Raw genomic sequence first — 25,251 nt, 5'->3', positions numbered from 1 at the left:
ACAGGGTGCTGATTGGTGTGTTTACAAACCTTGAGCTAGATACAGAGTGCCGATTGGTGTATTTACAATCCCCTAACTCCAAGTCCCCACCAGACTCAGGAGCCCAGCTGGCTTCACCCAGTGGATCCCGCATCAGGGCCGCGGCGGAGCTGCCTGCCAGTCCCGTGCCGTGCGCCCGCACTCCTTAGCCCTTGGGTGGTCGATGGGACTGGGCACGGTGGAGCAGGGGGTGGCGCTCGTTGGGGAGGCTCGGGCCGCACAGGAGCCCACGGAGGCAGGAGGAGGCTCAGGCATGGCCGGCTGCAGGTCCCGAGCCCTGCCCCGCGGGAAGGCAGCTAAGGCCCCGCGAAAAATTGAGCACAGCAGCTGCTGGCCCAGGTGCTAAGCCTCTCACTGCCCGGGGCCGGCGGGCCGGCCGGTCCGCCGGCCAGCCACTCCGAGTGCGGGGCCCGCCGAGCCCACGCCCACCCGGAACTCGTGCTGGCCCGCAAGCACCGCGCGCAGCCCGGGTTCCCGCCCACGCCTCTCCTCCACACCTCCCAGCAAGCTGAGGGAGCCGGCTCTGGCCTTGGCCAGCCCAGAAAGGGGCTCAGCAGCGGCGGGCTGAAGTTCTCCTCAAGTGCCGCCAAAGTGGGAGCCCAGGCAGAGGAGGCGCCGAGAGCGAGCCAAGGCTGTGAGGACTGCCAGCACGCTGTCACCTCTCAAGAGTATGAGAGAAAAGGACTTCCAAGAACCCATTTCCACAGGTGAGCCTCCTGATGTTAGAACCTGGTTGTCTCTGCCTTACACATCAAACACTGGTTCTGGGTAGTTTACCAACTCTGTTCAGTTAACCTTCACAGTAACCACGTATGGTTCATATTATTCCACTCTTGCAGGAGACACAAGATCACAGGTGTAACTGGCCCAGTCTGATACAATGAGTAACACTGGACCTAAAATTGAGCATAATTCTGATGGTGGTGCACAACATTGTTTATGTGGGAAAATGTGACCTTACAAAACAACATTGGAAAATACAATCTCATCATATGGAAGATGGCCTGCAATGAAACTTTTTTTTTAAGAGTACTTTGAATCAACATTATATGTTTTACAACAACAAAATTGATCACTTATCTGGTTTTGATAAAGGCATTTGCAACAAAGAAATATGATTTGAAAGTTCATGTGCTGTTGTACAGGATGAGATGAGTAGAGCTCAGGTTCAACTTATACTTACCCACTAGGCCATGAGTTCAGAGGGTACCATTTTCTAATTTTCCTCTTCCCCCAAGATTATTAATTTTATTACATCTATAAACATTTTATTTTATTTTATTTTTTACTCAGAGGTAGTTCCTTTTTCTGTTTTTACAGAGACTAGTAGTGGTAGTTCTTTCCATGAAGCAGAATTCTCTTGAAAGCAGAACGATATGTCACTGTGATAGTACAGGGCCCAAAGTGAAAGTCAGTCAGACAGTGTCAACCAGATCTTAATAATTAAACAGAATTTTAAATTTTAAACATGACACTGCCTATTAAATCAGTTCCCTTCTTGAAATAGAAACTAATATGTACTCTCCAAAAGTCCTGCTGGGAATCAAGCATAAACACATCCATCTGATACAAAGTATCTTCCCTAGTGAGCTATCCAGGAAGAAAATAATGCTAGGAAAATAGTGCTACAAAAGAACATGGCTGATTAGCGTGTTTGGTAACAGTGACCATGAAATAGCTCTTTTAAATACATAGTATATAGAAAAACAAAAATGGGAAAAAGATGTGCTTTTGATAATTCAAGATATTTAGATAATTAAATAAAAAATTAAAGCCCTTTAAAAATAAGGGTGATATGAAGTAGAAAAATATTTAAGGAATAATTCTTCAGTATTTATTATTTTCCTTCAAGCTTGGGATACTTCTAAACCTTTTACACAAGAAATGAGTTAAAGATGTGGTTTCATGTATTTATGCAACTTTAATGCAGTTAATGCAAATCGATAATATTGCTATATTAAGATGATTGCATTTTAATCTAGATGGTTTTCTGGGTGTGAAAACTGTACGTAATTGTATTAGTAATATTAATGAGGTGTTTATGGATCTCTGGGTGGAATTTATGTTCTTACAAGGTAACCTTATGATCATTATTTCTATCACATCTATAAACATTTTCTCTATGTTAGCAATGAAAATCCTTTCCTTAAGTAATGAGAAATGGCAAAAACCAGAATATACAATACTCCTTACATAATAAGAAAAAGTATTTGAGCATCATAAAATGAATACAGAAAAATCTCAAAATACAAAATCCTAATTTATTTAAATAAAGTAAAATCTATTTTGTTTCAGTGGCCAGTAATGAACATTAAAGCTAATGAATAAAAACCCTCTGTGACTATTCAAGTGAAGACAAATCAACAATTAAGGGTGTAGAGGGGCAAAGTACATTTGAGACTGCCTTATTAATATTAATCTTAAAATGCATGAAAGTATCAGCACATTGTAAGAAACAGTATATGACATAAGTATTCAAGAAAAAGAAAAAATAATTGGGCTATATTTTTCTGCAAAAAATTTTATAAGTATAGATTTTAGGGAAGTGTAATTTACAGAAATGTTTGAATTATTCAGATCTTTTAAAATGGATTTTAGAGTAGGCACAGAAATGCAGTTATAGAAAAAATGTGTATATATAAATATAATGGGTTGAATTCAAGATTAATAAAATTGAATGTTTTGAATATGAATGTATACATATATACTATACATAGGTATGTGTGTATATATATATATATAAATATATATACGGATAGAGACAGATTTTGTTTTTGCTTTTGTTTTTCGGAGATCGCCAATACATTTCAATCTCACTCTGGCCTTGTTTGCTTGAAGAGTCATTCAGGGTTAGATCCTAGTTCCCTGTGTTAGCAGTGGAAGAGCCTGTATTACCCCGAGTTATCAGCAGCATATCTGTGCGGGTCCATAGCATCTTCAGTCCTTGCCTCCTCAGAAGATATAATTGGACTGAGGGGCATCAAGCAGAAAAAGAGACCAAGGCAAGTTTCAGAGCAGGAGTGGAAATTTATTTAAAAAGCTTTAGAACAGGCAAAAAAGGAAAATTCACTTGGAACAAACCCAAGCGGGGCGCCTGAAGGTCCAAGAGAGACGAGAAGACAGCAAAAAGGAGGCCTTGGTCCTAGGACTTTATAGGCTCATCTCTTTCCCATGAGTCTTCCCTTAGGTTGGGCATCCCGCATAGGCAGCGCTTTCCTTACCCTTGGGAAGTGAGCATATGCAGTGTGTTTGTGGCGTTATATTGCCATGTGAGGCTTTTTTCCCTTTTTCCAGTGGCATGTACCCCAAAGATCATAATTCGCCATTTTTGTCAATGTTTTTCCTCCCTGGGGTCTGCCTTTAATTAACCCTTTAATGTTAGGAGGTGTGGACCATCAGGAACTGGCCTCTCCCCTGGCACTGGCTACCAATTTATCACTTTTAGAGAGGAAATGCAGTAATTGCTGAACCATCACCTGACTTTGTAGTGGGCTGAGGGGAGAGCCCTCTCCTGCCCCTCTCATACCTGTAACACCTGGACTCACTAGCTTCCAAATTGTAGCAAGTCACTTAACTCCTATAATCTTCAATTTCTTCATCTGGGAAATAAGACTCAGCTTATTAGGCTGTTGTGTTGATCCATTGAGGCAATGTCCATGAGTGCTCTAGATAGAAAGCAGAAATAAGAAATATTTATTTAAGTTCATTTAATAGAATTCCATCTAATATAAATTGAATCCTGTAAAAAGCTACAAATCCTATTCTTAGAGCTTTACAGTTTTGGATATTTCTAGCTCTCCATATGAAGTATACATGGTATATCTTTAAAAACAGAAACAAAAATCATTAAATTTGGTTAGACCCATCTGAAATCCCTTAGTCAGAAAGTGGTAGCTTTGATTAGATCCGATTCCAAAGCCCGTGCTGACCCCAACACAATGCAATGTAATGTTTACGAAGCATGATTCAAATAAAAATAATCTCTTTCATGAAGATATTCACTTTCAAATAGGCCCATTGGATTCTCTTAATAAGATATTTATTTTTAAAACAGCAAAGGGACCTCGCTGTAGGATAATTTCAGTAGTGGTGGTGTTAGATGTTATAATAGTGCTAGCAAAAGTGGTATCATTAGATTACATAGTGTATCTATGGTGCAGAAAAATGGCCTAAAATAAATTAGAATGGAATTACTTCGGAAAATTCTTGAGGGGTTGGGTGAAGAGGCAAAAACACTTACTTGAAATGTTGAAAAGGTGAGAAAAAATTACAGTGTAATCGTGCTGGAAGATAATGTTCAAATTGACTCTATTAGGATGTCCATGGAGTAGCATGAGAAATTTTTACCTCGGGATGTTTATTACGATAAGCCAACTGGTATAGCAAAGTGGACATGAGGCTTTTGAGTCAAGAGGTTATATTCTCGCTTCTGTGGGATTAATTGTGCTCATAGGGCAAATTTCTCAACTTCTCTGTCTTTCAGTGGTTTTCGCATCTGTAAGTTGAGGGAAGTGATAATATTTATCTATAGTTTTGTTGTGATGGTTAATTCAGTTTTTAGATGTAAAATGGTTGGAATAATAGCTAACACACAGAAACAGTTTCTGGAAAATAGTAAGCATTCAACCAATGTTTACTGCCCTTAGTTTTTATTGTAATTATTTAATTACGAGATTCTTGTGACAGTTACGTTTCTATATTATTTCTCCTTGTCATTTCACTCCTAAACCTGCTGCAGCCAGCCTTTTGTTATCAGCCCCCTAAACATTCTTCTTAGGTTTACTAATAAACTTCCAATCACAAAATTCAATAAAACTTTTTTAGTAATTTTCTTTTTTGACCTCTCTGTGGTATTTGCAATGTTGATTTTGTTTCTTCTGTTTGAAACCTTCTTTTTTCTTGAAAATCTATGAATAGATGTTATGAGTTTTCAGAACGTCATGTAATTGAATGAAACATTGTGTTCATGTCAAGCCCTTGGCAATGTGTCTGGCACATACACTATAGTGTTATAAGTGTTGTTGTATTCATTGATTTGTTATTATTATGGATATTTTTACGTGGAGTTTCCATACTTCTCATTATCTTCTCAAAGGTCATACTGATGTAATAGCAGATGTCACTCACATGTATTCCAGTATGTACTATACTGCTTGCCCGAAAGTAGCAGCTCATTATATATACATATATTGATTCAAAAAATAATCTACAAAAAATGCACACAGGATGTGGCAGCTTTATTTTTAATTGCCAAAATTTGGAAGCAACCAAGATGTCCTCAAGTAGTTCATGGATAAATACACTGTAGTGTATGTAGACAATGAAATACTATTCAGCACTAAAAATAATTTAGCCATCAGACCATGAAAGACATGGAGGAATCTTAAATGCATATTATCAAGCAAAAGAAGCCAATCTCAAAGGCTACCTATTTTACAATTCCAATTATATGACAGTCTGAAACAGGAGAAACTATGGAGAAAGTAAAAGATCAGTGGTTGGCAGAGGTTAGCAGGAAGGGAGGAACGAATAGAGAGAACACAGAGGAGTTTTAGGGCAGTGAAACTATTCTGTATGATACTATAGTGATGGATACATTATTCTGATTATTACAACTTGTCAAAATACAAAGAATGTACAACACCAAGAATGAACCCTAATGGAAAGTATGGATTTGGAATGGTAATGATATGTCAATGTAGGTTTCTCAAGTGTAAACAAGTGTACCCTCTGGTACTGGATGTCAATCAATAGTGGGGGAGGTGAGGTTGTGCATGTGTGAGGGTAAGGATTATAAGGGAACTTTCTGTACTTTGCACTCAATTTTGCTATGAACCTGAAACTGCTCTAAAAAATGAAAGTCTATTATACTTAAATAAATAAATAATCAACCCTTAAGAGGGGAAGGGCTGATCAGTGAAGATGTATTAGAGTGAGTGACATCTGAACCAGGCAGGGTTTGAAGCATGAATAAATAATGTCAGAGAGACAGCAGATAAAAATGCATCTCAGGTAGAGGGAAATAGCCTCTATAAATGTTTTGAGGTCTGAACAAGCATTTTGACTTCAGAAGGGAAATAGCGTAGGCAGATTAGTACTGCTAAAATATCCCTAATTTTTAAAAGTCTCTGTAATTTGTACATCTCTAATTTAATTTAATCTCCTTAAATCAGTTAGCATATTTTGATTTTTTTTTCTTATCATCTGAATATAGTCACCAACTTTCGCGTAAGGTAAAAATACTTTGACAGACTGACCTACTGACTGATTAACCTAAATGCTTCCAGCCTTGTTTGAGGAGAAGAGTCCTTTGGATGTGTTCATGAAAAAACAAGGATTCTCTTACTCAGACAGCTTCCTTTGTGTATCTGAAGAATGCGGTTAAATAGTGTATAATCCACTGAAAAGGATACTGTAGTTCACCAGAATGATATCCTGTGGTCTCAAAAGGAGATTTTATTCAGTTCCTATAGGACATAAAGTGTTTTCACAGGCTTTACAGGAAAGCACTGTTCGAGTTCGAACACTATTTCTTTCATCCCATAGAGGATAACATTTTTCAGCAAAAGAGTAGTTTACCTATCTTCTCTCACAATGGATAGAGGCCAGGACACTGAGAGATAGTATTTTAGTTGCCTTGGCTGTAAGTGGAACTAATTGTGAGTAAGATGCTTTTTAAAGTAAGGGTACCGAAGCACAACATAATGAATCATTTTTTTCTACAGACTACTTTTTGGTTATTCAGCTTTGTGAATGCAGCCATTGATGCTATCTTTGAGTTAGAGACACATTTTAAAACATGAAATAGTATGGAAAATTTGTAATACAGAGTTTGTGTGTGTGGTTGTGTTTTTAATGGTAAAAATCAAACCTTGAATAGGTTTTCATTCACTGTTTATTCATTGCTTCCTTCTTTCATAAAATGATTATTGAAAGACTACTATGTGTAAAGAATTAGGGAGGGGAGGTGCCTGAGGACCCCTTATATGGAATCGTCTCTCAAATGCTAATAATTAAGAGAGAGCTTAAGTATGGTGACTTTATGGTTGTTTTGTACATATGTGCGCGCATACTCACTGCATATCACATATATTACATATACATATTGACAGCACATTATATATTACAAAGTGTGTCAAGTTCATTTTTAAATTGCCAGACATGTCATTTCTTGCACTAATAGAGAAACAATTGTTCAGAGATTGGATGTTTTTGAATGCTCATCATCATTTGGAAACTACTAACAATGTAATTGATTCACTACTTTCTGTAAACAGCTTTATTTAAATAATAAATCACATATGCAAATAATTAAGATTTGCCATTTTTCATTGTTCTTTATCTTTCAAATAGTTATTGAATAAGAGTTGATAGAGCTCCATACAGATTAGAACAGATCCAGGACCAGACACAGTGGCACACACGTACAATCCCAGCACTTTCGGAGGCAGAGGTGGGTGATCACTTGATCGAGACCAGCTTGGGCAACATGGTAAGACCCCATCTCTACAGAAAATTTAAAAATAAGCTGGTTGTGGTGGCATGAGTTTGTAGTCCCAGCTACTTGGGAGGCTAAATAAGGAGGATCCCTTGAGCCTGGGAGGTCGAGGCTGTAGTGAGCTGTAATCATGCCACTGCATGCCAGCCTGAGTGACAGAGCGAGATCCTGTCTCAAAAAAAAAAAAAAAAAAAAAAGAAAAGAAAAAAGAAGGAAAAAGAAATAAAAAAGAAATAAAAGAACAGCTCTGGCTGAAAGTCTAAATGTTAGTTGACAAGTTTGTTTATATTTGTTGCTGCATACCTTGTTATGCTTTGTGGTCTCACAGTCTCAGTAAGATTCCTCCAATTTTAAAAATTATTCCTCATCATTAAGAATCTATTTCTTGTTAGATGGAAAAACAAATAAGAAATAAAAAGTGGTAAAAGGGACTACTGAACACTAAAATAGAGAATTTTCTCACTGCGATTATAATAATTATTTTTTTCTTTACAACTTTCAGAACCCAGATCAAGGGGTTATTTTTGTGAAAACTATGAAACAGTTACATAAATAATGCATTTCATTAGAGATCTTGATGGGGTCTTTCTTGTTTTGTTTGTCCTAGACATATATACTTACACATTACATCTTTTTTTAAAAAAAAGATAAAATTATATGTGGCTTTATGATCAATTTCAGTAACTAATAAACTTTTAATCTATTATAAAAAATTTACTTTTATTTCCTTTCAAGTAATGTCTGGAATAAATCATAATAACCAGTGAATTGAAGAACATCTGAAAATGATATCAACTTTGGGTATGCAAACATCATTTAATTTTAAATACTATAATATTTTACACTGTCCTTCTCACAGAAACTATTAAGTAGCAATTTCCCATCTGCATATGGTGGCAGGTCATCCAGATGGTACTGATGCTTACTCCAAAGCTGTCTTTGAACATCTGTTGTGTTGAGCATTAAAATGTTTTTCTTTTGATCAAAAATTGTTTTTCACCTTTGCTATAGCATGAAAAATCCCATGAAATTCATACTTAAAAGCAGAAAAGCTACTAGCATTTTCTTTTGAGGGGCAAAGAGAACAAATTGTGGATACAAAAATAAAGAAAAATGAAATATAAATTGGCATCTATGAATTTTATATAATTGTGAAAATATGACCCAAGATCAAGTTTATGCCTAGTTTTTTAAATGTTTGAATTGAATGCTTGGGTTGTAGTTAAGGGTGTGCTGGTAAAATGGCTTGCAGAAAAGGAAAGCTAGAACATCACCACCCTACAAAAAGAACAAAAAAAAGAAGCTCTGATTTTCCAATTATCATGGTATATATATTCCCACCGTGGCTGATTTGAAGTCACCAGTGCCTCAACAGCTTCTCACATAATTCCTGATTTTTAACAATTGGCTTTTGTGAGTCAGTAAAAGCAACTCCAGGGCATCAGGATTGTGTTCACAATAGATATGATACATACCCTTTTTTTTTTTATCATGGCTTTTATGAAGTCCAATTTGTTTTACTACGTAAACACAGATGTCTTGGTTTACTGACATTTTGAGTGGCCATTTTTAATTGCTGGGGAATCTGCTGTATGTAGGCAACACACACATATTTGAGCATTGAAATTACCAGTGTTCCTTCTCCTCAGTAAGAAAATCTATTTTCTTCTAATAACTTTTGTTACTTGTTTTGTTACATGAACACTGGAATGCTTGAAGTGAGGTTGAATTTGAAGAACATTATTTTAAAAAGCTGCAAAATAATGGGAGCAGTTGATTTCCGTAGTTTGTATTTTAATAGCATTTTTGAACTCTTAGTAAAATGTGACATCATTAGCTGAGCATGGTGGCTCACGCCTGTAATCACAGCCTTTGGGAGGCCAAAGCAGGAGAATTGCTTCAAGCCAGGAGTTTGAGAACAGGCTGAGCAATAAAGTGATAACCTGTATCTACAAAAAATTAGCAGGTACAGTGGCATGTGCCTGTAGTCTTAGCTACGTGGGAAGCTGCTGCAGAAGGATCACTTAAGCCCAGTAGTTCAAGGATGCAGTGAGCTACAATGGTGCCTTCAGCTTGGGTGACAGAGCCAGACTCTGTCTCTAAACAAAAGGACATCATTAAACTTAGGTTGTATCCATTATAAAGCCAGTAAAACACGTTGTTATTCTGCATTCCAAACTAGTAACATTTAACATTTTTTCAGTAGTTTTATACATGAGAATTTCCATTGTGTTGACTACCTCTTCTTATTGATTAATAAAATTACTTCAGTTGCATCCAATTTTGGATTTGGCCTCAATATTCTGCTATCTGCTCTCTGGTCAAAATCTGCTTTTCAGGTGCAATTTCAGTTTTTGGAAAGCCAAAAATAACCAAATGCCAACTTCAATAATATTTTCCTGGTAACCTTGAATTTGTGCATCATTGATATTAATGTGATTGCATAGGCTAACAACATACCTAAAAGCATGGTAGCACTGATATTAAGATGACTGTGTGCCATTTACATTAATTTTTAATATCTTAATATTCACTTTTTAATAGTGTTTAACATTCTAGATGTAATGTGGAGTGAAATTTTCTTTTGTGCTTTATATGGTAAAATTTTATCAGTCATATAGAATGTTAATTGTACCTAATATTTCAAGATTATGAAAAATTCTAGCTCTATGTATAGAAATAGTTGTGAAGAAACTTCAAAATAGTTAAAAGAGGGAAAAACATTAACAATTAATATAATTATTGCATGAGGATTATTAGCTCAATATTTTATTAAAACATTTTGAACCAGCACGTTTCTAAATATTAAATAATAATTTGAGGCAGAAAAATACAGATAAGGTTATAATATAATAATAATATTCATGGAATTGTTTGTATATTTATAACCTACATATCATTTAAACATTAAGCAATTGATAGCATTCATAATAAAAAAAAATTATCACAGACTTTAATTTTTAACTATTTAATTGCATTTAGGCCATAAGTCTTTCTGGAAGAAAAGTCCTGTTTGCGAATTCTTCAAGTATTATGAAGATGAATTAAAAGCTACTTAAAAATTACATGATGAATAAAAACTCCAAAATCATGAGTGACTACACCTATGGTAAATCATCTTCAGATGGAATGATACATATAAGACTATAAACAAAATAAAAAAGTATTAAAGAAAAAGAAGACCCCCTAAAACATATTTGTTCTTACAATTTTTTTAAAAAAAATAGACTTTGAAGAAAACTCTAGGAGGGAAGTTTCTTAGAAATTTGAATTTATAAAGGTTAGAAATCCGAACAAAATCTGGTTGAAATAATTGCTGTTGACTACCAACTCTTTTCAGTAGTTAAAAGTGAAGGATTGACTAGGCACAGTGGCTAAAGCCTATAATCCCAGCACTTTGGGAGGCTGAGGTAGGAGGATCATTTGAGCCCAAGAGTTAGAGACCACCCTGGGCAATATAGTGAGACCCCGTCTCTACAAAAAATAATAATTAAAAAAAATTTGCCAAGGTTGATGATATGTGCCTGTAGTCCCAGATACTCAGGAGGCTGAGGTTGGAAGATCGCTTGAGCCCAGGAAGTTGACCCTGCAGTGAGCCGTGTTCACGCAACTTCATTTCAGCAAAAAAAAAAAAAAAAAAAAGGTGGGATATTGTTGAGATTTGTCAAGGTGATTTTGTGCATTTATTTCACTAGTGTAGCTCTGTGACAGCTAGTGGACTATATTTGATATCTTGGTTATTTAAAAGATAACAAAAATCATATTATTTTGAAATGAAGTAATTATAACAATATGCATTGAACATTTCAGTGAGAGTTCAATCTCATCCCTGCATTGCAAGGAAGCTTGCTGTCTTTACATGAGAAAACAGGCTGGGAATCAGGGTGAACTTGCAATTGTAACAAGAATCTCTGGTGGAGGTCTCAAATACATACTTTAAAGTCAGAAATAAGGGATGAATTATAAAATCACTGGAAATGGGAATGGATCTTATTTAGAGATGTACTTCATTTTTCAGTCAGCATCTACCTGTTTGGCATACTTCCTAAAATTTGTAACTTAAATTTTATGGATTTCAACACTTCCCTGAGGAGATTGTTTCATGTGCCAGTTCATACACTTTTTTTCTAATATTCAAAACCAAATCCTCTTTTTAAAAAATTTATCTAAGCAATACTAAGTACTATTCAGGATTTAATGAGCCTGGTTTTCTCCCCTGTGGGATGGAAACGCTCGCCTGAATAAACACTCCCAGAGCAGCCAGGATTTATTCAGGGGAGGGAGTGAGGAAAGGAAGAAGCACAGCTTCTTTCCTGTGTTCACGCACAGCAGGATTCCATTTGGCCCCAGGAAGTAACTGTGCCTCATCCCTGAAGGGGCAGTGGGAGTTGGAGGAAAGGAAAAAAGCAGGAGGGAGAAGGAGCATGTACTATTTTCAGCAAACAGAGCAATAATTTGACCAATCCATGGGAAACTAGAAAAAAAGATCTGATGAACAAATTCTACATAAATATGATGTTCTAAATAAATAGAAATAATGCAATGTCAAAGAAATACGGTGTCAAGAACAACACAGTAACTACTCTACATCCAATTTTACTACTTAGTCCCTAAGTAGTTTTGGATAAATTACGTAATTTTCTTATCTGTAAAAATTCAAATAACCCTTCTGGAAGGTTGTTTTGAAGGTGAAATAAAGACAGGCTCCTCAATAACTGTTTTTTGCCCTTCAATCTTTCTCTCCACTTTTTTTTTTAGTAAAGTATAAAAACGAAAAATCAAAACACAGTGTTTAGAGCATTTTTCCATACTCTTACCTTGCAACTTATTTATTTCCTTATTGATACAATTTAATATTTATGTAATACACCTGGCCCTGGGGAATGGTTTTTAACACAAAAATAACTCTTTTAGTCCAGGACACAGACACACAAATAAACTCAATTTTAGTAAATGTAGCAAGCTTTAGAGTAGAGTATGTAGACTATGGAGTTGGTTCCAAATGAATACAGAGGAGAGGAAAGTTCTCTTCGAGGAAGTCAGAATTCCTGTTGTAGATAAGTATCTACTTCACAAAGTCAAGGAAGTGTCACACTTTAAATTAAGTTAAATGCTTCTCCAGCCTTTCTCCCTGTGGACTGAAGGAAAATCCTATCTTACTTGTTATTAGGTGGCCAGTTTCTTTCATTAGGGTTACAGAAAACTTCAATAGGCTCCTTTGCTACCCGTAAAAGGGGAACAGGTATTATCTATCATTGTCCAAACCCACATAATACTTTATGTAGCAATTTGGTGCTTCGAGGTAAGCTGAAAAAAGGGCCCTTTGAAAGATGCACATCCCAGTCCCTGGAACCTGTGTCACCTAATGTGACAAAGGGAACTTGCAGATGTGATTAAGTTATGGATTTGGAGATGGGGACAGTATCCTTATTATCCAGATGGGCTGTCAACGTAATCACAAGGGTACATACAGGAGAGTGATAAGCAAGTCAAAGAAGGAAGTAGCAGATGTGATGATGGAAGAAAGAATTTGGAGTGACTCCAGAGAGGGGTCGTGAACAAAGGAGTGCAGGCAGGCTCCAGAAGCTAAACAAGACAGGGAAACACATTCTCTCCTAGAGACTCCAGGAAGAACCTGTGCAGCAAACACCTTGACTCTAACCTAGTGAAACTGTTGTCAGACCTTTGGCTGCCAGAATGATAAGAGAATCAATTTGTGTTGTTTTAAGCACCAAGATTGTTGTAATGTTTACGGTAGCCATAGAAAATTAATTTTGCCAAGGGTAGGGGCCCTGGTACACACCACTCCAGAGAAAGGCATGAAGATCTCAGCTATTATATAATCAATCCACATTTTCTGCCCAGTTTACCTCTTAGGTAAATTTTTCCTCTGTGATTGCTACTAGCCATGGCCGATCATTTCAGCATAATTCTCTGGTAGGCATTTAGGAAAAAGGTTCCAAACTGGTGGATTGTGGGCTTCAGTTAGCATACAGGTTTGCTTTTCATCAGCATGTATTTGATTTTCTGTTTAAAATTCAGGAGATTTGCCATTAAATACAGATTTTTACCTTCTTTTCAAAAATCTGGAAATGTGGCATGCCCATGTGATCACCATTGTTTGGAGTTGTGTTCTTTAATGAGGTGTACGCTTGCCAGTTAGAAGGTACACTGATACTCCTTCACCCTGATTACTTGCATGGCTCATGTAGATATCTGAGTTTGTGATCAACACTTAATTCCTTAAAATCCAAGAAAGATAGTATTTTTGACTAACTACTGCTTGGGTCCTGGCAACTTAATCCTCCCTGAGGAAGGAGAGCAAAAACGATCTGGAGAGCTTGGAATGGAATGGGAATAAAAACTATGAAAAAAATCAACCAAGAAAAATAAGTAAATAAATTTCCTAAAAGCTTTGAAGAAACAGTGGCATTTCACTTGGTCTTAAAAGATGAAAAAAAAATAGGCTGGATGCACCATGGCTCACACCTGTAATCCCAGCACTTTGGGAGGCTGATACGGGCGGATCACCTGAGTTGGGAGTTCAAGACCGGCCTGACCAACATGGAGAAACCCCGTCTCTACTAAAAATACAAAAATTAGCTGAGCATGGTGGTGCATGCCTGTAATCCCAGCTACTCAGGAGGCTGAGGCAGGAGAATCGCTTGAACCCAGAAGGCAGAGGTTGCAGTGAGCCGAGATCATGCCAATTGCACTCCAACCTGGGCGACAAGAGCAAAAGTCTGTCTAAAAATAAATAAATAAATAAATAAATAAATAAATAAATAAATAAATAAATAAATGAAAAAATAAGAGTTAGTGACAGGATGGACTATGGCTTCCTCCACTGACTCGAATCCTGAGATTTCTTAGAAATAAGACAGATATTTGGAGCCAAAGAACAAAGTAAAGCCAGTCTGGAGGTCCTGAGAGGGGTAAGATTTATGATCTGGCAGGGGGACAGAAACAATAGCTCAGATGGTAGAGGACTAGTGGTAAGGATGAGTTTTGAAATAGGGGGAGGGGTAAGATTTTGAGTTGTGCTTGTATTAATTCATTCTCACACTGTTGTAAAGTACTGCCTGATATGGTTTGGCTGTGTCCCCACCAAAATCTCATCTTGAATTCCCACATGTTGTGGGAGGAACCTGGTGGAAAATAATTGAATCATGGGGGCAAGTCTTTCCTGTGCTGTTCTCATGATAGGAATAAGTCTCATGAGATCTGATGGTTTTAAAAAGAGGAATTCTCCTGAACAAGCTCTCCTCTCTTTGCCTGCTGCCATCCGTGTAAGACATGACTTGCTCCTCCTTGACTTCTGCCATGATTGTGAGGCTTCCCCAGCCATGTGGAAATATAAGTCCAGTTAAATCTCTTTCTTTTGTAAATTGCCCAATCTTGGGTATGTCTTTATTAGCAGTGAGAAAATGAACTAATACAGTAAATTGATATCAGGAGAGTGGGGTGTTGCTAAAAACATAACAAAAAATATGGATACGACTTTGGAACTGCGTAACAGGCAGAGGTTGGATCAGTTTGGGGGGCTTAGAAGAAGATAGGAAAATCTGGGAAAGTTTGGAACTCCCTAGAGACTTGTTAAATGGCTTTGGTGAAAATGTTGATAGCAATATAGACAATAAGTCCAGGCTGAGATGCTCTCAGATGGAAATGATGAGCTTGTCAGGAACTGGAGCAGAGGTGATTCTTGTTATGTTTTAGCAAAGGGACTGGCAGCATTTTGCCCTTGTCCTAGAGACTTGTGGAACTTTGAACTTGAAAGAGACGATTTAGGGTATCTGGCAGAAGAAATTTCTAAACAGCAAAGTGTTCAAGAGGTGACTTGGGTGCTGTTAAAGGCATTCAATTTTATAAAGGAAGCAGAGCATAAAAGTTTGGAAAATTTGCAGCCTGACAATGTGATAGACAAGAAAATCACATTTTCTGAGGAGAAATTCAAGCTGGCTGCAAAAATTTGCATAAGTAACCAGGGGCCAAATGTTAATTCCCAAGACAATGGGGAAACTATCTCCAGGGCGTGTCAGAGGTCTTCACAGCAGCCCCTCCCATCACAGGCCAGGAGGCCTAGGAGGAAAAAGTGTTTTTCTGGGCTGGGCCCAGGGTCCCCATTTTGTATGCAGCCTAGGAACTTGATGCCCTGTGTGCCAGCTGCTCTAGCCATGGTTGGAAGGGGCCAATGTACAGCTAGGGCCATGGTCAGATAGTGCAAATCCCAAACCTTGGTAGCTTCCACATGGTGTTGAGCCTGGGGGTGCACAGAAGTCAAGTACTGGGGTTTGTGAACCTCTGCCCATTTTTCAGAAGAGGTATGGAAATGCCTGGGTGCCCAGGCAGAAGTTAGGTGCAGGGTTGGGACCTTCATGGAAAAAATCTGCTATGGCAGCGTGGAAGGGAAATATGGGGTCAGAGCCCCCACACAGAGTCCCTACTGGGGCACTGCCTAGTGGCACTGTGAGAAGAGGGCCACTGTCCTCCAGAACCTAGAATGGTAGATCCAGTGACAGCTTGCACTGTGTGCCTGGAAAAGTCACAGAAACTCAATGCCAGCCCATGAAAGCAGCCAGGAGGGAGTCTGTACCCTGCAAAGCCACAGGGGCAGAGCTGCTCAAGACCATGGGGACCCACCTCTTGCATCAGCATGACCTAAATGTGAGACATGGAGTCAAAGGAGATCATTCTGGAGGTTTAAGATTTGACTGTCCCTCTGGATTTCGGACTTGCATTGTAGCCCCTTTGTTTTGGCCAATTTTTCCCATTTGGAATGGCTCTATTTACCCAATGCCTGTACCCTCATTGTATCTAGGAAGTAACTAACTTGCTTTTGATTTTACAGGCTCATAGGTGGAAGGGACTTGCCTTGTCTCAAGTAAGACATTGGACTGTGAACTTTTGAGTTAATGCTGAAAGGAATTAAGACTTTAGGTCAGGGGCAGTGGCTCACGCCTGTAATCCCAGCACTTTGGGAGGCCGAGGTGGGTGGATCACAAGGTCAGGAAATCAAGGCCATCCTGGCTAACACAGTGAAACCCTGTCTCTACTAAAAATACAAAAAATTAGCTGGGTGTGGTGGCAGGCACCTGTAGTCCCAGTTACTCGGGTGGCTGAGGCAGGAGAATGGCATGAACCCAGGAGGCAGAGTTTGCAGTGAGCTGAGATCGTGCCACTGCACTCAAGCCTGGGTGACAGAGTGAGACTCAGTCTCAACAACAACAAAAAAAGACTTTAGAGGGGTGTTGGGAAGGCATAATTGGTTTTGAAATGTGAGGACTTGAGATTTGGGTGGGACCAGGGGCAGAATGATATGGTTTGGCTGTGTCCCCACCCAAATCTCATCTTGAATTCCCACGTCTTGTGGGAGAGATCTGGTGGGAGGTAATTGAACCATGGGGTCAAGTCTTTCCCATGCTGTTCTCATGATAGTGAGTAAGTCTCATGAGATCAGATGGTTCTAAAAAGAGGAGTTCCCCTACATAAACTCTCTCTCTCTCGCCTGCTGCCATCCATGTAAGATGTGACTTGCCCCTCTTTGCCTTCTGCCATGATTATGAGGCTTCTCCAGCCATGTGGAACTGTAAGTCCAATTAAACCTCTTTCTTTTGTAAATTGCCCAGTCTCAGGTATCTCTTTATCAGCAGTGAGAAAATGAACTAATACACTGCCTGAGGCTGAGTAATTTATAAAGGAAAGAGATATAATTGGCTCACAGTTCAGCATGGTTGCAGAGACCTCAGGAAACTTACAATCATGGTGTAAGGCAAAGGGGAAACAAGGCACCTCCTTCACAAGGCTGCAGGAGGGATAATGAATGCAGGAGGAATTACCAAACACTTATAAAACCATCAGATCTCATGAGAAGTTACTATTATGAGAGCAGCATCGGGGAAACCTCCCCCTTGATCAAATTAACCTCCACCTGGTCTCTCCTTTGACACATGGGGATTATGGGAATTATAATTCAAGATGAGATTTGGGTGGGGACACAAAGCCTAACCATATCAGTGTTATTTCATTTCTATTGCCTGTCTTATCAGCAGTGTGAGATGGAATCTGATAAGGGGGATTAAGTTGGGGATTCATTTAGTTTGGACTGAATGGAGCATATGTGTCTGGTTTGTAGTCACTTCTCTGTACAGTTAAGTTATTTCTGGCAGTCGTTATATAAGAATGGCTAAATTAAAAAGCCAAGAATTGTTTCCAGATTTTTTGTAATATGCTGTAGGACACTTCTCATAGCTATAACTGTGCATTGTATCAGCTTTCTGAACTGGTGGGAAGAGCCACAAGGTTCAAGGAGTTGTAGAAAAAGTGTTATTGGTTAATCCTTCATGATACTACCCTGCACGACTACAACACTCTACAAGAATAGATATGGTAAATTCCAGAAAAGAGAAATCAATACACATTGTGGAATATATTAAGGAGGATCAGATAAAGTGCCTGCTGGGAGGGAGCTTTACAGCTAGGTCTGGAATGGTCCATACAGTTTCAAAACAATTAAAAATGTATTTAATTTAAAGTTAATGAAGTTAAGCTTTAGAACTTCTCACATGTATGGATCCCTTCTAAATATATAATTACTATTGTACCTAATTTTATATACATTTTCTTAAAAAGGCTTGCTTTAACCCCTCCCCCATCAATTCTGTGAATTTCAAACTCAAAAATCTAAATCCATGTAAGGACGGAAGGGCAATCTATAGGAAGGAATGTACAAAGACAAAGAGGTTGGAACATTTAGGCTCCGTTCAGGAAAATGAATTTAGTTGGGTTTAGCTGGACTGTGGCATATATGAGGATTAGTAGTGGAAGATAAACTTGGGAAGACAGGTCATTGCCAATCACAGATGACCTTGAATGACATGCTTTGGAATAAAGCTTTATTAAACAATTATACACTAAAGCAATGGTGCCTAACCAGGTTGCAGAAGGAAGGAGTAATTAAAATAATGAGGAATGCTTTTCCAAATGATACATCTCTGGGTCTCAACTGAGATGTATTAATCCTGAATGGTTCCTGAAAGCAGCAGGTTGGGGTGGGGTCTGGAAGTGAGGGTGACTTGCAAAGGGCTTTCAGTTTCTATAATGCCCCAGCCTTGTTCTTCCTTACACCTCATCCTCACTTTTATGTTCTATAGTTGAATACTGTCTAAATCTGGTTAATACTCAAAATCTTCAAGTGTGCTTTCAATAATATGAGTTTCTTGGTCTCATCACAGCCTCACTAAATTAGAATTGAAATCTCTGAGGGGTGAGGTAGAAAAACTTACCGTCTCCTGGTAATTATCCTTGTCAGCCAAGCTCAGTTCACATGCAACTGGGAGCCATTGAAGGCCTTTTGAGCAGGGGACTTTCAAGAACATAGCTGTATTTTATAAAAGGTATTCAGAGGCCTAGTGCAGTGGCTCACGCCTGTAATCCCAGCACTTTGGGAGGCTGAGGCAGGCGTATTACGAGGTCAGGAGATTGAGACCATCCTGGCTAACATGGTGAAACCCCTTCTCTACCAAAAATACAAAAAATTAGCCAGGAATGCTGGCGGGCGCCTGTAGTCCCAGCTACTCAGGAGGCTGAGGCAGGAGAATGGAGTAAACCCGGAAGGCAGAGCTTGCAGTGAGCCGAGATCACGCCACTGCACTCCAGCCTGGGCGACAGAGCGAGAACCGGTAAAAAAAAAAAAAAAAAATGGTATTCAGAAACACTTTTTTTCTAATAATAATCCTGTGAATGGCTGGAAACACTTTTTTTCTAATAATAATCCTGTGAATGGCCAGAAAACATACATTTTTCTTTCATTTCAAAGTTGGGGAAACTAAGGCTTAGAGACTCAAGTGATTTGTACATGATCAGAAGGCCAGTAACTAGTGTTTGGATTTCTATTTCCTAGTCCAATGCTCTTTCTGATATTTTACAATTATTTCTTGAACTACAAGTTATAAATTCCTTTATTAATAAAGGAATTCAATTGGTAGAGAAAAAAACCATAAAACCAAGTAAACAAATTCTTATTGACCTAATTGATTATTTCTCTTTGTTTCTACATGTACAGTTTGGTTAGAAATTGAATTTTTGAAAAAAAAAGTCGCTAGAAACAAAACAGAAACTCACAAATTCTTATTTATGTTCACAGAACTGCAGCTAGTCCATGCAGTAAGTAGGACAAGGGCATCCGTTCATGAGGGGAATGGTAGATTGCACGGTTGTGAGCATTCAGCGGGTTGGATTTCCATCTCTCCCAATGCCTGGTCAGCCACATTCCATTGTCCAGTGCACAGTGTGCCAACCATATGCAGCAAACCTGTAGCAAACAAAATGTGTAAAAGTCAAAGGTCAGGGAAACAACTGAAAGTGGTAGGACTTAAACCTGTGTAGGTGTAGCATTGTCTAAAATCTGAAATAAAAAAGATCAGTCATGTTTTTGAGGGTTCTCAAGTGTAAAGCAGTGGCTTTTTCTCTGTAAATCAGAACCATCTGGGAAACTAGGATAAGAAAAAATTCCATGTTTGGGACCCACCCCTGGAATTCAGATTTAAATTGGCATTGGATGGTTCTGCTGGAAGAAGTGTATCTTACAAGTTCTCAGGTGATGTTACTATATGGCCTGGATAGAGAATCACTAACGTAAAGCATAACATTGTCATCCACTGTACTCCTTTGTTAGCCAAAACTTAAATTTGGGAAAGAATTCCTCAAACAAGATTCCCTACTAATGTGTGGTATGGATATATTCTAAGAAAAGAAATACAAAAGCTGCAATATTTTATCTCAAGTGATAACAGACAAAATACAGAAAGTAGTTATGGATTTATCTTTTGTGGGCCATTCTGTTCATATAAAAATTTTATGAATGATTTAAAACATAAGAATAATGTGCATGTTTAGAGCTAGAATTTCATGATTTTTATTTATTTTAATTTAGTTTATAGAAATAGAGTTTAAGTTTTTGAGAAACAAAAGTCTTCCGGTAAAAAATATAAAAATTTCAAAAAATAGTATGGAAGGAACACAGAAACTAAACTTACAACCAACAAAGCTTTAGGATGATAAAACTATTTTTGAGATGCTTCTATATACGCCCTTTGGACTATGTCAAAGCTGACATAACTGGTAACAGGAACTCCATCAGTAATGACCTAGGCTCAGAAGACACATTCATATGAAACAAAACATCTGTGCTTTGGCACCATAGTTCTGTAGACAATGTTATGTGGAGTCATCTGTAAGTCACTTTAGGTAAATAAATATTCAAAAATTTATCAGCTAGGATTCTAAAAATTGATATGATTTTGAAAAGATAATATATATTAACTTCAGGTCTAAAAAAGTAGCATTGATTGAGCATTTGTTATATCTCAATAAAGCATATATTTTTAATCTGTATAGTAACCATGTGAAATTGCTATCGCTCCGCATATTCTACTAATGACAAAACTAGGCCCATCATGGTCTAAAGCCTGTACTTCTAACCACCTCACTAATTTGTTGTTATAGTTGGTGTTGTTTTCATTGTTTTTTCTTTTATTTTAGGTTCAGAGGGTACATGTGCAGGTTTGTTACATGGGTAAATTGCATGTTGCTGAGGTTTGGTGTAGGGATACTTCTGTCACCCAGGTAGTGAGCATAGTACCAGATAGTTTTTCGACTCTTGCCTCTTTCCCACTGTCCTCCATCTAGTAGTTCCTAATATCTACTGTTCTCATCTTTGTGTCTGTGTGTACTCATTATTTAGCTCCCACTCAGTCTTTGGTTTTCAGTTTCTGACTTAATTTGCCTTGTATAGTGGCCTCCAGCTGTGTTCATGTTACTGCAAAGGACATGATTTCATCCTTTTTATGGCTGCATAGTATTCCATGGTATACATGTACCATATTTTATTTATGCAGTCCATGGTTGGTGGGCATCTAGGTTGCTTCCATGTCTTTGCTAATGTGAATAATGCTGCAGTGAACATTCAAGTGCATGTGTCTTTTGGTAGGATGATTTATTTTCTATTGGGTATATACCCAGTAATGGGATTTCTGGGTTGAATGATAGTTTTAAGTTCTTTGAGAAATCTCCAAATGGCTTTCCACAGTGGCTGAACTAATTTACATTCCTGCCAACACGTATAAGTGTTCCCTTTTCTCTGCAACCTCACCAACATCTGTTAATTTTTGACATTTTAATTATAGCCATTTTGACTGGTAGGAGATAGTATCTCATTGTGGTTTTGATTTGCATTTCTCTAATGATTAGTGATATTGAGACTTTTTAATATCTTTGTTGGTTGCATATGTGTCTTCTGTTGAGAAGTATCTACTTATGTCCTTTGTCCATTTTTTAATGGGGTTATTTGCTTTTTGCTTGTTGAATTAGGTTCCTTATAGGTTCTAAATATTAGACCTTTGTCAAATACAGTTTGTGAATATTTTCTCCCACTCTATAGGTTGCCTATTTATGCTGTTAATAGTTTCCTTTGCTGTGCAGAAGCTCTTTAATTTAATGAGGTCCCATGTTGTCAATGTTTGTTTTTGTTGCAATTGCTTGTTGGAACTGAGTCATAAATTATTTGTCAAACCCAGTGTCCAGAATGGTATTTCCTAGATTTTCTTCTAGGATTTTTTTACAGTTAGGTCTTACATTTAAGTCTTTAATCCATCTTGAGTTAAGTTTTATATAAGGTAAAAGGTGTGGGTCCAGTTTCAGTCTTCTGCATATGGCTAGCCAGTTATCCCAGCACCATTTATTGAATAGGGAGTCCTTTCCCCATTGCTTGTTATTGCCACCTTCACTGAAGAGCAGATGGCTGTAGGTGTGTGGCTTTATTTCTGGGTTCTCTATCCTGTTACATTGGTCTATGTGTCTGTTTTTGTAGCAGTACCATACTGTTTGGTTACTGTGGCTCTGTAGTATAGTTTGAAGTCTGGTATTGTGATGTCTCTGGTTTTGCTCTTTTTGATCAGGATTGCTTTGGCTATTTGGGATCTTTTTTGGTTCCATATGAATTTCGGAATAGTTTTTTTGTTTTTGTTTTTTAGTTCTGCCTCACTAATTATTTTAAGCTTGAATAAATCAAGCTACCTTTTTAAAGTGACACAAATGTTTAACTTTTCATATTCTCACAGTTTGGAACTTATAAATGTTTTGCTTACACTATTAATGTTATTCTTATGTTTTAAAATTTTAACGAAGTATACTTTATGGACACACGTAAGAATAGCTGTGTTACGCTTATTTTCACAAGGGTTTTGTATTGACTGCAAGTTAAATCGCACTTCCTTCATAATAAATTATATTCAGATCAAACAAATCATTGAATGCTTTGTTCCACTTTTTTCACATATCACAAGCCTCATAAATACCCTTTGAGTTAAGTATTACTTTTAACTCATCTCAGAGGTGTGGAAACTAAGGCGCAACAAAAATTCATAGTCTCATTACCTAATACATAGCAACTAGGCTAGAAGTTACTCCGAATTTAACCTCAGTGTTCTTTTTCATGACAGCAGAGAGGCAGTGGCAGAGAAAGAGGCAAAGCAAACCTGAGAATGAATGAGGAGATGTCTAAAAACCTAAATCAACATGATTCACCTGGACAATAAAGATTTTCTTGTTAGTTTCTTTATCTTCACCTCACTACTACCAATTCAGATCAGGCCTTTTTCATCTCTCATGTACTCTTCTATTTCTTCTTTCAAGCTTTCTCTGTGCTATCAATTGATTTATTATTTCAAATTTAATAACACTGCTTGTTAAACACTAGGTATAAGAGGGTGATCAACATACTGGTCAACACATTCTTGTAGCTAAGCCTATATATAATCATATGTAGGAAGCATAATTACATATTGCAGGTCCACTGCTTATAATCCCTGGATAGCTCCAAAAGACTCTTTGAATAAAATATCCTCATATGTTTTCAAGAGTCTTTTAAAACTTGATCCTAACCAAGCATTACAATTTAATTTCTGGTCCCATGTATCTCCTGTACTTTTGGGGTACTAAAAACTCCTTCTGCTCAAGAGGCAAAGGAATTATTTTTTTAATAACTCAACGCTTTTATTCAAACACAAAGTTTGAGCTAATCTCAGTTAAGGGCAGATAAAATTTGAACAGTGGTTGAAGCTCAATATTGGTTGAAAATACATCTTCAATTAAAAAGTATATTTAGCTACATGAAAAATTGATGTGCATAACAAAAGTAGTATTTTGAAAAAAAAATTAGATCTAAGTTTAAAAGTGATCATATTTTGTTTCTTAAGTCTCAATGAAATTGACTTTGAACAGTTTCCTTTAAAACCTTCACTCTTGCCGCAATAACACAGTCTTGGCCTTTCAAAACAGCCATGCTTCTACTGAAGAATTGTGAAACAGGGAGGCAGTTTATAGCATACTGGTTAAGTACACAGTTAAAGTTAGATTCAAACTTCGTTTTCTCTACTTGCTGAAAGATCATGAGCACATTCCTTAAGTGTTTAAGTCTCCACTGTAAAATGGAGATAATAATGGTAACTTCCTGATGTTTAGGTTGGTGCAAAAGTAATTGCAGTTTTTTGCCATTACTTTCATTTTGCACCAATCTAAATATTGCTCAAAGAATTAAATGAATTGATGTATACATGTAAACTTCTTAGGGTATTTCTGAGGCCAAGGTAAAGTGTTAACTCTCATTTTCATTCCCACTTTGAACACAGACACACACACACACACACACACACACAAGAATCACTAGGAGAGAGAATTAGCTCCTCCTTTATTTATTTTTTCAAGATGGGGTCTTGCTTTGTCACCCAGGCTGGAGTGCAGTGGCACAATCTCAGCTCACTGCAACATCTGCCTCCAAGGTTCAAGCAATTCTCCCGCCTCAGCCTCCATAGTAGCTGGGTTTGCAGGCACAGGCCACCATGCCAGTCTAATTTTTAGTATCTTTAGTAGACGTGGCATTTCACCATGTTGGCCAGGCTGGTCGCGAACTCCTGGTCTCAAGTGATCCACCCACCTTGGCCTCTCAAAATGCTAGGATTACAAGCATGAGCCACCATGCCCGGCCGAGCTCTCTCTTTTAAAGCAGATTTCAACTGATCAGATAAATCATGGCAGTTCTTAGTGGTCTGAAAAGTTAAGAAGAGGCAAACAAGATTCTGCCCAATTACCCAGGGACATGCCTTCATTCCTCATGACTGCTGCATCTTGACCTCTGTCAATCCACAATGGGTTCATATGTCTTGGAAAACAGAGTGGAATTAATGTATCTACACTGTAATTTAGGGTTATATTTTTAGCTCTCCCACCATCTTTTTCCCAAACTTTCTTTACCTAATAAAGGATGATCATACATTTGTTGTGTTGTGTTTTCCTTTTTTGTTGGCACTGTGAGAGCCAGTACACAAATTCAGTAGGAGTTCCTGACAAGTCTGGAAAATGTGATCTCTTAATTAAGGAATGACTATTCACCTAGATTTATGGAGGCTCAGAGAATTAATTACAGTTCAACTGTTAAAATGGAAAAATATTTTTAAGGCGGAAGTTCTGTGGATTCAATTCAAATAAATTCCTCTTTTAATAGATAAAGTATAACAAAGAGAATCATTTCATTAAAAAATGCAAAGCTTGTTGCTGGTGTACAAAGGGACAGAAAAACAAATTCTCATTGAGTAGGCTTTATTTTGCGCATATTGCATTAAAAAAGTTTACCCCATATCACCAGAAAGTTATAAATA

General features: G+C 37.7%; 1 long non-coding RNA gene across 1 annotated transcript; it reads left to right on the top strand.

Moving 5' to 3' along the window:
* Positions 1–579: 579 nt before the first annotated feature.
* LOC105375628 (uncharacterized) lies at positions 580–10,662 on the top strand. Its single transcript, XR_928382.3, has 4 exons — positions 580–746; positions 7,393–7,531; positions 8,273–8,338; positions 10,520–10,662. It is a non-coding gene; the product is annotated as an uncharacterized LOC105375628 (long non-coding RNA).
* The last annotated feature ends 14,589 nt before the right edge of the window (positions 10,663–25,251 follow it).

The sequence above is a fragment of the Homo sapiens genome, chromosome 8 (genome assembly GCF_000001405.40).
Source record: "Homo sapiens chromosome 8, GRCh38.p14 Primary Assembly".
Taxonomy (NCBI): Eukaryota; Metazoa; Chordata; class Mammalia; order Primates; family Hominidae; genus Homo; species Homo sapiens.
The sequence above is the reverse complement of the archived record's forward strand: the minus strand, read 5'-3'. Positions and strand labels throughout refer to the sequence as shown.